Source organism: Homo sapiens, chromosome 2 (genome assembly GCF_000001405.40).
Source record: "Homo sapiens chromosome 2, GRCh38.p14 Primary Assembly".
Taxonomy (NCBI): Eukaryota; Metazoa; Chordata; class Mammalia; order Primates; family Hominidae; genus Homo; species Homo sapiens.
In genome coordinates, this window is record NC_000002.12 from 74907397 (window position 1) to 74922884 (window position 15488).

At 46.7% G+C, this 15488-nt stretch overlaps 2 long non-coding RNA genes across 7 annotated transcripts in view; one reads left to right on the forward strand and one right to left on the reverse strand.

Annotated features, from left to right (window-relative positions):
• The first annotated feature begins 1564 nt into the window (after nucleotides 1–1564).
• The window catches only part of LINC01291 (long intergenic non-protein coding RNA 1291), a 34534-nt gene continuing 20610 nt past the window's right edge, over nucleotides 1565–15488 (forward strand). For 2 of the 3 annotated variants that reach the window (NR_125792.2, NR_189601.1), the window contains exon 1: nucleotides 1565–1777. This is a non-coding gene — a long non-coding RNA (long intergenic non-protein coding RNA 1291). Of the gene's footprint in view, nucleotides 1778–10599; nucleotides 11064–15488 lie in introns of those variants that run through there. The other variant, NR_189602.1, reaches the window with a different exon arrangement.
• The window catches only part of LOC105374809 (uncharacterized), a 40654-nt gene continuing 35995 nt past the window's right edge, over nucleotides 10830–15488 (reverse strand). For all 4 annotated transcript variants that reach the window (NR_187883.1, NR_187881.1, NR_187884.1 and 1 more), the window contains one exon: nucleotides 10830–12890. This is a non-coding gene — a long non-coding RNA (uncharacterized LOC105374809). The remainder of the gene's footprint in view (nucleotides 12891–15488) is intronic.

The following is a 15488-nucleotide window of genomic DNA, read 5'->3' on the forward strand; positions in this document are numbered from 1 at the left end:
TGGCAAGAAAAAATGAGGAAAAAGTGGCTGGGCATGGTGGCTCACGCCTGTAATCCCAACACTTTGGGAGGCCAAGACGAGTAGATCATGAGGTCAGGAGTTCAAGACCAGCCTGGCCAACATGGTGAAATTGTCTCTACTAAAAATACAAAAATTAGCCAGATGTGATGGCGGGTGCTTGTAATCCTAGTTACTCAGGAGGCTGAGGCAGGAGAATTGCTTGAACCTGGGAGGCGGAGGTTGCAGTGAGCCAAGATTGAGCGACTGCACTCCAGCCTGGGTGACAAAGCAAGACTCTGTCTAAAAAAAAAAAAAAAAAAAAAGAGGAAGAAGCAAAAGCAGAAACCTCTGATAAGCCCATCAGATCTCGTGAGACTTATTCACTATCATGAGAATAGCACAGGAAAGACCAACCCCCATGATTTAATTGCCTCTCCCTGGGTCCCTCCCACAACACGTGGGAATTCTGGGAGATACAATTCAATTTGAGATTTGGGTGGGGACACAGCCAAACCATATCACTTATTCAGAAATACAATGAGCATGTAATTTTTTTTTTTTTTTGTATTGGCCCAATCTAGTTTTGAATCAAGATTACATTAGCTTCATAAAAAAGGCTGGACAATTTTCTCTTTTTCACTTGCTGCAACAATTTGTGAGATAAAAAAATCTGTCTCTTGAAGACAGGTAGAGCATATTTGTAAAGCTATCTGGGCTTTAGGGAGAGGAGCTATGATTAGCGTTTCAATTTCTTTAATGCTTGTTAGTCTATTCAAGTATACTATATCTTGGCATTTAGTATTTCCCCACAAAGTTGTCTATAATATCTAAAGTTTCACATTATTTGGATACAGTTGTTCATAATACTCTAAAAACTTTTTTTTTTTTTAGAAAATTTCGAATACATTCAAAAGTGGATTGATAAACCTCTGGTGCTTCAGCAGTTATCAATTCATGGCCAATGTTGTTTCATCTAGAGCCCCGCCCACATCCCCTCACAATTCTTTGAAGTAAATCTCTGACATTGTATAATGACACCTGCAAATGCTCCGGTAAAAATCTTCAAAAGACAAAGACTCTTTTTCAACCTGTTCACAGTGTCATTACCTCCTCCCCAGATAATAATTTATCAACATCAAGAAACTCCCCATTAGTGTTTAAACTTCCAATTTTCTCACAAATGTCTTTTTTTTTTTTTTTGGCGGGGGAGATAACTTTGTCATTTGAATCAGAATCCAAAGTTTACACATTGCACTTGGCAGACCTGCCTTTTAATTTCTCATAACCTCTGTTTCTTTTCAGCTTTCTGTTTTCCTCCCAGAGTTTCCTATGATTGCATCTCTAGTTTGACACGTTCCCTTGTCCTCTGTATTCCTGTAAATTGGTAGTTAAATCTCAATCTGATACAGAAGGGCTGGGCTCCCAGCTAAACCCCACCCCTAAGCCAGGAACCACCGCCCTAAGTGAAAACAGGTGATCCTGGTTTTCCAAGCAAATGTTGCCTTTTTGGCCTGCCCCGCCCCTATCCTGTGCCCATAAAAGACTTCAGCTGGCAGCGCAATAGAAGCGGCTGAGCGGCGAGGATACACGCAGCTGAGTGTCAGAGACAATGGATAGATGCGGCTAACTTCAGACGGTGCGGCTTCAGAGAGGGACCTGGCCGGAGACTGCCGGGCTTCAGAGAAAGCTCACGTTCCCATCTGCTTTCCAGCCTCCCTTTCCGCTGAGAGCCACCCACCGCTCAATGAAGTCTTCCGCATTCATCACCTTTCAAACGGTTCGTGTGAGCTGATTCTTCCTGGACGCCAAACGAGAACTCAGGTGCCAAGAGGGCAGGGGCTACCACCCTGACTCTCCACTGAGCTGGTTGGCACTTGGCCGTACCTGGACGGCAGAGCTGAAAGAGCGCTGGTTGAAACATGCATGGACACTGCTGTGTAGCATGCATAGAGCCTGCTCCCTCCAGAGAGGAGCGACCGGCGGGTTCTGGGGTTCGTTTGCTTGGGTTCCTGCACCCGCTTGCTCTTACGCTCCCCCATGCGAGGAGTGGCCAGTGACGGGCTGAGTGAAACGAGCCACTCCAGTTCCTGCCCATGAAGGGGGTCAAAGGAACTATCCCATCTCAAATCCATGATCAGGTTTAGGTTTGATATTTTGACAACGTTACTTCAGAAGGGTTACTGCAATTACATTATTCTTTCATCTTTGTTGTGCCTGTAATTGTTTTTCCCCCTTTTTCATTGTAGGTTTTATCTATTGCAATTTCATTTTCTCACTCTTTTTCTTTTTTTCTTTTTTCTTTTTTTTTTTTTTGAGACGGAGTCTCACTCTATTGCTCCAGGCTGGAGTGCAATAGTGTGATCTCGGCTCACTGCAACCTCCGCCTCCCAGGTTCAAGCGATTCTCCTGGCTCAGCCTCCTGAGTAGCTGGGATTACAGGTGCGCACAACCACGCCCAGCTAATTTTTGTATTTTTAGTAGAAATGGGGTTTCACCATATTGGCCAGGCTGGTCTTGAACTCCCGACCTTGTGATCCGCCCGCCTCAGCCTCCCAAAGTGCTGGGATTACAGGCGTGAGCCACCGTTCCTGGCCTTTCTCACTCTTTTTCTCGATCAGTCTTGCCAGAATTTTATTTCACTAATCTTTTCAAATAATTAGCTTTTGATTTGGTCATTTCTTTCTGTTTTTTCCTTCTCCATTTTATTGATTTTTGCCTTTCTTTACTTATTTTTCCTTCTTGTTTCTTGGCTCTGTTGATCTTATTCCAACTTCTTGAATTTACAGTTTTACTTGTGTTTGAAGTTATAATTTCTATCTACTGCTGTAAGTCCTACACATTTTGATACATTGCCATTTCATTGATACTCTAAGCAACTAGCAATTTGCTATACTTTTTTTTTTTTTTTACCTTTTAAAATATATTATTTAGTTTCCAGTAATATGTTTGTATAAACTATCCCTCTGTTATTCATTTCTAATTTTTTGGCATTCTGGTCTGAGAACATGATCTGTATGACATTGATTCTTTGGAATTTATCAAGTAATCCTTTGAGGCCTGGTATACGGACAATGTCATAACCCTTATATATGTGCTTGAAAACTGTTTTCTCTAGTGTTGAGCATAGAATTAGAAGGGAGGGGGAGAGGCAAGCACAGAGGCAGATATATTCCACAGCATTCACAGAAGTTATTTCTGGGATGGGAAAATTACAGGTGATCTTTATTTTCTTCTTGGACAGCAGTAGTCTTTACTTGCCTGTGATTCCAAACATGTTTGAAAACAATGTCAGAGATCTCATAGGCCTCCCACTGCCCTGGGTGGGTAAGAGCACTGGTGTGGACAAGAGGGAACATTTGCCATTGCCCATCATCTGGGTTGTTCACCTGACCTTCTGGGCCTGCCATCCTGTTCTATGAAATGAGGATATTTGGCTGGGTGCAGTGGCTCACACCTGTAATCCCAGCACTTTGGGAGGCTGAGGTGGGTGGGTCACCTGAGGCCAGGAGTTCTAGACCAGCCTGGCCAATATGGTGAAACCCTGTCTCTAATAAAAATACAAAAAATTGCTGGGCATGGTGGCATGCGTCTGTAGTCCCAGCTACTCGGGAGGCTGAGGCAGGAGAATTGGTTAAACCCAGGAGATGGAGGTTGTGGTGGGCTGAGATCGTGCCACTGCACTCCAGCCTGGGTGACTGAGTGAGACTCCATCTCAAAAAAATAAATAAATAAATAAATAAAATAATAAAGAAATGAGGATATTTAAGCTCCCACTCAACTTGAACATTTGTATTGTTATTTATAAGCTCCATCTGCTGCTGGCATGAATACCTGAAAATCCTGGGACTGTGGGATGTGGTCCAGGCTCTCAGGTGTCAGCATCGCAGGGAATCCCACAAACCTATCCCTGGAGGGAGTGCAGAATCTCACGTGTGAAGGGGCTGGGGTGAAGCCTTTCTCATAGTATTATCTGGAGAGGGTGTGCCTTTCCCCTTCTTTCATTTTGGGATAAGCGTGGTTTTTTCTCTCACTGTACTCTGTTTTCCAGTCTGCAAGCCCATTTCCAGGGAAAGCAGACAAGAAGCACCAATCGGAGCGTTGAAGTAAATGGGAATCAGTATCCTTGGCAGTGCCTGGACCTGCTGAGCGACAAGCGTGTGTTTTGTTTTATTAAATGTTTTCCTTTTTAATAAGCAGTGGGAAATGTCAGGACCACCTGCAGCTGCCTGCTGACCCTGGGACTGGAGTAGGGGATGCAGCACTCAGCCTCCAGTTGTGTTTTTCTTCTCTGATAGCTCAGTTGTGCCAGGAGTATACTCGCCTTGGTGCTCCAGAATCATCCTAGGGAATCAGCTCCGCCTTCTATACAAGCAGAATTCTACCTCTAACAGGACCAGGTGACCCCTTCTTTGGCAACTTTCTATACATTTCTAAGCCCCTGATGTTGCCCTAAGGCCATTTTCCTATGCTCCATAGGATGAAAATATCAGGAAAATGGTTTGTGCATGTTTATTATTCAGTTTATACACATTATGCATGAAGCAAGTATGAAATTGCTGCACAAACACTGGGATCCAAGAAATGTCATACTACTGAAATCAGATTAGATCTAGTTCTGAGCCCTCCCTCACCAGGGGGATCTGATGTCCCAAATCAGGTATTCTCCAGGATGGAGCAAGAGTCCCTGGGGGATGACAAGGCCAGAACCACCTGAGAAAGAGCCTCCAGTCTTCAGCCCATGTGGTCCCCTGATTTCTGAGCCCAAGTGGCCTCTTGGAGGGCTCCCAGTGACTGCCAGTCAGCTGCGACCCCTGTGCTCAGGTATCCACCCCACTTCGCACCAGATGCTGACCCAGACCCTGCTGAGAGATAGCACCCCAGGATGCAGCACTGGGCACTGCACGTGGCAAATGACCATTTTTTTTTAAGACAGTGTCTCACTCTGTTGCTTAGGCTGTGGTGCAGTGGTACAAACATGGCTCACTACAGCCTTGACCTCCCAGGCTGAGGCTATCCTTCTGCCCCAGCCTCCCGTGTAGTTGGGCCTACAAGCGTGCAAAACCATACCCAGCTGATCTTTTGGTACTTTGTAGAGTCGGGGTTTTGTCATGTTGCCTAGGCTTGTCTTGAACTTCTGGGCTCAAGTGATCTGCTTGTCTTGGCCTCCCAAAGTGCTGGGATTATGGGGGTGAGCCACTGTACCTGGCCGACTTTTGGATTTTTAAGTGAAATGAGAAGCCACTGGAAATGGTTTTGAGCAAAAGAGTGCCAAGGTCTGAGTTAAATTTTAAAAAGTGTACATTAGCTGCCATGGAGACAACAGGGAGACACAGAAAAACCAGTCATGAGGCGATTGTGAAGGCCAGGTGAGAGATGATAGACCAGGGAGTGGCGACGTCAGCCGTAAGAAGTGGTCAGGGTCTGGGTGTGTTTTGAAGATGAAACCAATAGATTTCCTGATAGAATGGATATATGTGTGAAGGAAAGAGACTCAAGGCTGACTCCAAGGTTTTTGGTCTCCATTCCATGAAAGAATGGAGCTGCCATCGACAGACATGGGGAAAACTGAAGGAGGTGCAAGTTCTGAGGGGAAAATCAAGAGACTTATTTTGAGCCAACCCAGGAGCAACAGTGACCCTAGCACCCCGACCGTGGGCTTGAACGCCATTTGCCAGGTTTGCGGATCCACAGTCTGGGGCAGAAAATGGACCAGATGTCCTGGAGCTTCTTGAAGTACCAGATAGCAAGGAAACTATCAAAGATGATTAGGGTTCTGTCAACAGGACTAAGTAGCCAACTAGGAGGAGCTCCCGTTTGCTGAAAATGGGATAATGTGAGCATCAAAAGGATAAAACCACAGTGGATGGAAACATCATCGAATGTGTTTGGTCCATGAATTTATGGCGATATTAACATTGGTCTCATAATTGGTATCTTTTAGAAAATGACAGGGAATCAATTCATTATTTAAAAAACTAGTTAAAAATGGAAAGAAAAACCATTTTGTACTGCCTTTCCTGTACAAACTTTACCTCAGGGTAACCAAGCAGTAGATGAGGGGACATTTCTTTGCATGGAAGGATCCCAGTTAATGAATGAAGAAGAATGATAGGTTTTGAATGTCACCATCTGGCAATCTTCATGAGGTAATAGGCCCAGGCAGTGAACATAAACTGCTCAGAATACGGCAAAAAGAGAGAAAAGCAGACAATTTGTGCCTCTTGATGGGAGACCATACCACCATCTCCAGAATCCAAACACCAATTTGCAGATACTAGAGCAGGGGGTGGGACATGTTAGACTGTAGCATGGGGTGCATTCAGCAAAAGTAAGGTAAGGAAAAGTCTCTAGGACCTTGTTTCAACAAGCACATTGAAAAGAAAAAAGAGATGGAGAGAGAACTTATAGATTAAAAGAGATGTAAAAGATATATCATGCATTACACTGGGTGGGCTTTATTTGGATTTTGAATCAAACTTACAAAAATTATGAGACAATGAGAAATTTGAACACTGTGGTTATTAGAGATGTTAAGATTTTTTAAATGAATATAATAATAGTATGATAGTTATGTTTAGAAACGAGGCCTTATCTTTTTGAGATGCAAACTGAAATATATACAGATGAAATGATGCAACATCTATAGGACTGGCTTCAAAATAATTCAGGCCGGAGGGAAAAGAGACAAGATTGACCATGAGTTAGCAATTGCTGAACCTGTGTGATGGGTATGTGGGGATTCACTATACAAGTCTGTCTGTCTATTTTTGTGGATGTTAGAAATTCCCTATTATAAGAAGCAAAAAAGAAAGGATAAAAAAGGAAAAGGAAAAAAAAGGAGGAAGGATAGGAAGATGGAAGGAATGGAAAAAAGATGGCAAGGAAGAAAGGAAGGAGGGAGGAAGAAAGGAAAGCAAGGAGAAACTTTTGGGTGTGTTAAGTTTGTGCTGCTAATTTCATGTTCACACAGAGATGTTGCATAGGTAGTTGAGTCATGGAGGGACTGAAGTTCAGGACAGTATTAAGGTAGAGTTGAAAATTATGGAGTCTTAAATTGATAAATATTAAAATCACAGAAGTGTGTGAGATCACCTTAAAAATGAATATGAGTAAGAGACAGAGATTTAGTACTACTAAATCTTGGGGATTTCCAAAATTAAGAGGTAGGAAAGAAGAGGCAGAAAAGGGGCCATGCAGATGCAGCTAGAATGGGAGAAGAGAAGAAAGGGGTGTTCTGGGGACTGATGTGTCGGACACCATGTCATCAAGGAGGGGGCACGCGCCATCATCTGTGTCAAATGTGGGCAGGGTGGAGTGGATGTGGCTGAGGGCTGACTAGGGCATTGGGCAGAGAGGAGTTAAGTGTTGACCTGGACCAGGGGAGTTTTGGGCAAGTTGGGGGGGAGAAACCCTGGTGTGGATTACTGAAGGCAGAGATGGAGATGAGAGCCATGAGCACTGTTGAGACTTAGGGGAGTTTAGAATAAAGATCAGCAGAGAAATCAGATAGAGGTGTGGGTGGGATGTAAGGCCAATAGGGTTTTTTTTTTTTTAAGAGATGAGAGAAATTACCAGCATGTTTTATTCTGATGGAAGTGATGAAGGTAGAGGGAGAGAAGAAGAGAGAGAGAGAGAGAGATTGACTGAGAACAGTAATCAGTGATGATGTGAGAGGGGGACAATTACTAGCCAGATGTCCTGGATCACCCGGTGGGCCTGAAACAGGTTTGTAATCAGGTCAACTCTGATGCATTTGGTGTCAGGACACATATATTTCACGGTCAGAGGCCTGAATACCACGTCCAGGTCTTCCCAGGGACCTCATGGAGGTGCTGATGCAGGCTTGATGCTCATGTGGCTATTCTGAATCCGTGTCCACATTGAGGGGATGGGTTGGGCCTCCAGGTGTGGGGCTCACAGGCCAGCACAGGCAGTGTCAGCCCAGCTGAGCTCGCTTGGAGCCATTTTCTTGGTCAACTTGTACATGTTCTTAGTAAATCCCTCACCTTTCACTCACTGGCTGGCACTGAAAAGCAGCTGATGCCTTCCTGTTCCAACGGGAGCATGTGCCTGCTGTTTCCAGCAGGATCCCGACAACTCTGGCTGTGCTCTTGCTCTGCCACTTCTTGTGGCTGCCCATCACTGAGGACAAAATGGTGAGGTGAGGCCAGACAACACAGAACACACATTGGGGAAGGGCCAGCATTTGGTGCTGGGGCCTGTGGTCAGGCCAGGCTCTGCTGGGGCAGGAGGGCGAGATGCTGCTTCTGGGTCTGAGGATGAGACCAGAGGCAAGGCTGAGGTGGAGCTGGGAGCAGAGCAGGTGCTGGGATGGAGCAGCTGGAGAATGCTGGTTGCTTGATCAACACAATGTCTCTTCCCACAAACATTTCCCTGCATTAAGTCTCATTTAATTTCCACCATGTTAATAATAAGAAGCCTGGTAGCCCCTTGGGTACCAATCACAAGGATCACCACTAGACTGAGTCATCCTTCCCGGGTGTCTGCATGTGGTTTCTTCAGCATACAGAACGGAGCTCTGAGGGTTTCCCCCCAGCCACTGCCCACAGCCACATCCCACAGGGAGGGACTTCAGTGCAAAATGTGGAGCAGTCACTCCAGTTTCCCACACTCTGGTATTAGCTCTGGCTTAGGTAACCCACCAGCTCTTCATTCCCCAAGCGATGTGTGTCCTACTACATCCTTTCACAAATGCCTCATGGCACCACGGAGAGGTGCCCTGGACAGAGGGTCCAGAGAGCTACAGTTTACTTCAAGCTCTGCACTGACCAGCCTTGGGCCTCACTTCTTCACGTTTGACACATTTTTATTCTAAGCATTGGAGATGCAGTAGTGACAAAAGAAAATTCCTGCCTGCATAAAATGTGTATTCTAGTGGGGAAACAGATATTAAGCAAATTAAACATATAATGTGCCAGACAGTGACAAGGTCTATGAAGAGAAATAAAACAGGATAGGGGGCAGGGAGGTGTGAGTGGAGTGTGTATGTGCATGTGTGTGATTTTACATAAGGTGATCAGGGAAAGCTTCTAGGAGGAGATATTTGAGCAGAGGCCTGAAGGAGAAAGGCATATGGTTACCTGGGGAGAGCATTCCAGGAAGAAGAAACAGTGGGTGCAAAGGCCTTGAGGCTGAGCATGCTTGACGTCCCAGGAAGAACTGGGGCCCTGTGTGGCTGGACAAGAGGGACTGAAGAGGAAGCTGGCAGGAGATTAGTTTCCAGAAGTGGGGACAAAGTGGGCAGGTTGTGTAGCATCATGGGTCACTGGAAGGTCTCTGGCTTTCGTGCTCAGTCACATAGGAAATATTAGAGGGGTTTGAGAGTGGAGTTACATGTTTAAAAGAATTGCTCTGGTGTTGTGTGGAGAACAGGCTGTAGGGGGTGGGAGGAGGCAAGGGCAGGAGCTGGGGGTCCAGTAAAGGCTATTGTAATGACCCAGATGAAAGATGTTGGTGCTTTGGAGGAGCTGGAGAAGAGGTCAGATTTCTGGATAATTTTGGAAAGTCAGAAAAGTTTTGCTGGTGGATTGCATGTGCAAAGGGAGGGGCAAAAAAGGAGTTGAGCATGATGTGGTCATCATTAGAGCTGTTCACAAATATTTTGGTTGTTTTCTTTTTTTTTTTTTGAGATGGAGTCTTGCTCTGTCATCCAGGTTGGAGTGCAGTGGCACAATCTCAGCTCACTGCAACCTCTGCCTCCCGGGTTCAAACAATTCTCTGCCTCAGCCTCTAGAGTAGCTGGTATTACAAGCACCTGCCACCAAGCCCAGCTCATTTTTGTATTTTTATTAGAGATGGGGTTTCACCATGTTGGCCAGGCTGGTCTTGAATTCCCGACCTCATGATCCGCCTGCCTCGGCCTCCCAAAGTGCTGGGATTATAGGTGTGAGCCACCGTGTCCAGCCAGTTGTTTTCTTTTTTGGGCACTTAGTAAGTTTGTGCTTCCAACCCTCCTTTAAGTTAGGTGTGGCCATATGACTTGTTTTGGACAATAAAATGTAAGCAGAAGAGGTGCACGGGGCTTCTGGGCAGAAGCATTTCACTGCAAGTGCAAGACCCTGCAACATGCACCTTCCCCTGTCTCTAAAAACATGAAAACATTTTGTCAAGATACAGCCTCCGTCAGCCTTAGTCCCTCAGTGAAACTGATGAGTAGAGTCTCCTGTCAACTCAGCCTGGACATCAGCAAAAACATGAACATTTGTGGTGTTTTTGGGGTTCTTTGCTACGGAAGCATCACCTAATTTATATCGACAAATACAGATAACATGATGACAGCATTTATTCTGAACAACTGGAAGATTAGAGTTTTGATTTATTGAGATGGAAAAGGCTGTGGGAGCAAATGGGAGCAAAAGGTTTGAAGGGGGAGGATTAGGAATTTGCTTTTGGACATGCTACGTTTGAACGCATTAGGCATCCACGTGCAGATATTGAGTCAGCAGTTGGGGATGTATGGGTCTGAAGTTCAGAGGAGAGTTCAGGCTGGAAAGAATATATTCGGAGTTGTAAACGTGAGGCCAGGCAGGATCACGAGGAAGTGAGTGTCAGTAGAGAAGAATGTGCATAGCCTTAGGCACTTGAGTGAATAGGCTCAACTGTGTGGAAGTCTGCTGACAGGTCATCTAAGATGAGGACTCTCAACTGACCGTTGGATTTGCAATGTGGACCTGAAGAGTAATTGTGGTGAAGTTGTGAGAATGAAACTGAAGTGGGTTCAAGAAAGAACGAGAGGAGAGAAAGTGGAGTTTGAGTATAAATAACTCTTTTGGAGAGGATTGGTGTAATTGAATGGCAGGGGTATGAGATTTGAGGTCAAGGAAATATTTTTATTATTTTTTACGATGAGAGAAATTGTAGTACACATGTATATTTATGGGAATGACTCAGTAGAAAGACCAAAAATTTCATATGTGAGAGAAGGACCAATTGATGAAGCGATGTTCTTGCGTGGGCGCGAGGATGGGATCGAGTGCACAGCGGAAGGTGGCACTTAGGAACACGCAGCACTCGTCCATGCCAGCAGGAGGCAAGGCAGAATGGTGAGTACAGGCACACGTGTACTGATGTGGTGCTGGGAGTGTGGGTAGAATAGGCGGTTGTTCTGGATGATGGATACGGTTTTTCTCAGCTCTTAAAAATGTATTATTTCAAAATCAAACTTTTCATCATAATCTTGTCTTTAGCTCTTTCCTATTCTTCATCTTGCAGATCTAGATAGTCATTAGGCTCTGTTGATTTCACCTACTGAGTGGGTCTTGTCTGTAATGCCCATCTGGCTCCTTCAGCTCAGTGCGATGGAAGGGCTCTGCTCTGTAGCGACTAGAATTTAAAGCTAGCTGGAATTTATCAGGCATTTGATGGCTACCTGTTTAGGGGCCCTACCAGGGAAGTATTCCAATAAAATTGGGATAATAATATGCTTACCCCATAGGCCCATTTAGAGAATTAAGATAAATATCAGGTGCTAAGCGCTCAGCATTTCCCTGGCACATAGGAGGTTGAGCTGTTGGTATCTTCATCCACCATCACTGCTGTACTTCATGGTGAGCTTTCTATAGAGCAGGTCTCTGCTTTAGAACCTCTGACTCTGCCAGCTACCTGGATCAAATTTGAACTTTTCACCTGTTAAACCAAGGCTTTCACGATCTGGCCCCAAACTCCCTTTTTTGCCCCATGTCCCAGCACTTCTCTTTCATGTTCCTTCTATTTCAGACACAGAACTAGCCCTTCTTCAACCTATATCCTTTCTTTTCAGTTCCACGATTTTACGGAAGATATCTTGTCACTAAGCCTGGCAAAATCCTGCCCATTCTTTAAGATTTAATATATATCACGTTTTCCTGCGGTACTTCCTGGACTTCCCTTCGGACGCCTCTGGTCCCCAGTCTGGCTCCTTCTTAGGCCTGTCCCGTAATTCTAAGCTTGTCTGGCTGTCCTTCCACTATGAGCTCTTTGGGAGCAGGATCTCTGTTTGGTTCCATTCTTTTTGGTGCCTTGAACAGTACCTGGCACCAATAAACACCTTAAGGAATGACCACATTCCTTATTCCCTCCTTTGTATCCACCTCTTTCCTAGCCCTTAGTGTTGCACATTGTTGATGGCCTGTCTTCCCCATCACGCTATTAATGCCCTGGGAAACAAGACATTATCTTTATTTCTCCCCACGTCGCCAGAGCCTAACACACAGTGGCTCCATCTCCGCTCACTGCAACTTCCGCCTCTCGGGTTCAAGCGATTCTTGTGCCTCAGCCTCATCATGAGTAGCTGGGATTACAGGTGTGCGCCACCGTGCCCGGCTAATTTTTGTATTTTTAGTAGAGATGGGGTTTCGCCATGTTGGCCAGGCTGGTCTCCAACTCCTGACCTCAAGTGATCCGCCCGTCTCGGTCTCCCAAAGTGCTGGGATTACAGGCTTGAACCATCGCTCCAGGCCTCGATAAATGTTTAATGAATAAAACGATGAAAGGACCCGTCGCCTCCTAAATGCAGATCTCGAGGGAGCCTCCAGGTGGCGCTCGCCGCTCGGAGAAGCAGGGAGTCGGTGCGCCGCAGCTCCGGCAGGCGTCTGGGAGGTGGTCGCCTCCTCACCTGCCCAGGCGGCCGTCCCCCGGGAGCGGGTGGCGGTGACCTCAGGACTGACGCACTGCCTCCTCCGGGCGGGTGCGCAGCCTGCGTCAGGGGCGCTGTTCTCCCTGTGCTCTTGGACCCCGCAGTTGTTTTAGGAACATTCACTGGAGAGCGAGAAGGGGGCCGCCTTCCGGTGCCCGGTGGGCAACACCTAAGCCGCGGTGTTTACTGGTGAGGGAGTCGGCTGTCTGCTGGCGGCTGTGACAGCTGCAACACGCCACACAAAGATGTTATTTACCTGTCATATTAATGATAGTGTTAGCAAGTGCGTGGCACGTCCAGTACTTTTTTTTTTTTTTGAGACGGAGTCTCGTTCTGTCGCCCAGGCTGGAGTGCAATGGCGCGATCTGGGTTGACAGCAACCCCCGCCTCCCGGGTTCAAGCGATTCTCCTGCCTCAGCCTCTCGAGTAGCTGGGATTACAGGAGCCCATGACGAAGGCCGGCTAATTTTTTGTATTTTTAGTAGAGACGGGGTTTCACCGTGTTGGCCAGGATGGTCTGGATCACCTGACCTAGTGATCCTCCCGCCCCCGCCTCCTAAAGTGCTGTCCAGCACTATTCTAACTGCTATGTACACATTTACTCAAAGGTACATAAGATAATACAAAATAAAAATTTCCATTTTATAATGAGGAAACATAGGGGCAGAGGTTGGATAACTTGGCCGAGATGGTCCATTTAGCAGTAGCAGAGGCATGGTTAGAACCCAGGCGGTCTATACCAGAGCTGGCAGATGCCCCTTTTATGCACCCCTGCCTCCCTCTCAATGTCCAGCAGGGCTACCATCCGTGTTCCAGCTGGCCCGCGCTCAGCCAGCCAGACACCATTTATTAAGCACTTACTATGTGCCAAACACCTTGCTTAGTGTTGGGGATGAGCAGGTAAAGGGGAGAAAGTGTCTCCCTTTCAGAAGCCTCCAGGCTATCAAGGGAGAAAAAAGTGTTGTGGGTGAAAAAGGTGTTGTGGGGGATGGTTGTGCCAAACGGTAATGATGGACAGAGTAACAATGGGCACCCATGGGAGGAGCCGTGGCAAAGGAGATGCTGGCCTTCCCAGACAGCCCACCTGGCCCTTTTCTTGTGTGCCGCTCTTGTTATGGGTTTTTCTGGGGGAGGCATGGGGACACTGGTGCTCTGGCCTCGGTTCTGAGAGCCTGTCCAGGCCCGAGTCCCTCTAGGGCTTGGGCACACCCCACTCCAGTCTTGTCCTTGAATCCCTGCACAGTGGCTGGGACCCTTGTCCTTAGTGCCAACTTCTCTGGTGCTGCCTGCCTGCCTAAATTTCTGAATATCAGGGACTGTGCTCCACTTGCTGCTTGGACACTGCTCCCATCCTCCCACCGGTTCCCATCCTCAGCCTGGTCCCATGATCAACAGCCACAGCTTGCCTGATCTTCCCCTAAACTCTGGTTTTTGTGGCCCCAGACTAGCCAGCTCCCTGTCCTTCTGGTGCAATCACACTTCTACCTCTGCTCCAACTAGTGGTGTCTATGTGTAAGACCCCCAGATCCCAGACTCTTTCCTTTTCCTCTGATACATCAGTCCCCTGCTGACTCCACCCATCCTAGATGCCTTCTCGGTTGATCACTTGAACCACTTTCTTGCTGGCCCCTCAATTTTCTGTCTCCTTGTAAACACTTGCTCTAGAAACCCCCTCCTTTCTCCACTTCTTCACCTGGGGTGCTCAGGGATGCTGAGCTGGAATTCCCAGAGCTGGCAGGTTGGTGCTGGGCAGTTTTGGAAACATGATTTTCAGGCCCCAGTGTAAAAACATGTGGGGCCAGGCACAGTGACTCACATCTATAATCCCAGCACTTTGAGAGGCAACTCAGGAAGACCACTTGAGACCATGAGTTTGAGACCAGCCTGGGCAACATAGCCAGACCCTGTCTCTGCCAAAAATTAAAAAAAAATTAGCCAGACATGGTGGTGCGTGCCTGTAGCCCCAGCTACTAGGGAGGCTGGGGTGGGAGGATGGCTTGAGCCCAAAAGGTTGAGGTTGCAGTGAGCTATGATTGCATCACTGCACTCTCACCTGGGTGACAGAGTGAAACCCTGTCCGTAAACAACATACTTTTTATTGTCTGTAAAAAACAAACAAACAAATAAATAAAATAAACACATGGGGCCCTTGTTCAAAAATTTTAAGAATTTCAAGATGACAACAGTAGACAGCAGTTAAACCAAGTTCAGGGCCCTTCTACTCATGGAGCCTGTGTGACTGCATGGGTTATAGCCCCCTGAAGTGCTGGGCCAATGCCCCCACCTTCTCAGAGCTTCCAGGGCTATCTGATTACTCTGAAGTCTCAGACCTGTGGTCTCTCCTGTCTTCTCAAGTGGCCTGCCACCACGGTTGTCCTTAGCTATCCCATCCCATCCCATCCCATCCCATCCCATCCCATCCCATCCCAGTCTCAGACAACATTCCCTGCAGCCTCACTTGCATTCACCCAGGCTTTCTAGAGTGGAGGAGAAAGCCTGGAGTTCCCAACAGTGGGAAAGCTACCTGGACCAGGTGGTGTGGTTGACAATGACTGAGAATCTGTCTTCAGGGATCCCTGCAGAGGCTGGTGTCCTCAACTGTACAGGGATTGGATCTAGATGTCAAGGGAGAAGACGGAAGGTAGAGAAGGAACCAACAAGCAGGCTCCTTCCCATTCTGACTAACTGGGCACTTTCCACAACTTCCTGAATCTAATTCTCTAGGGGCCTTTTATTTTTCCTGTTTCATAATTGTAGAGATGAGGAAACAGGCTCAAAAAGGTTAAGCAGCTTGCGAGCCCACACAGCTAGTAACTGGTGGCAGCAGGCCTTAAGGCTAGGTTGGTGTGAGGGC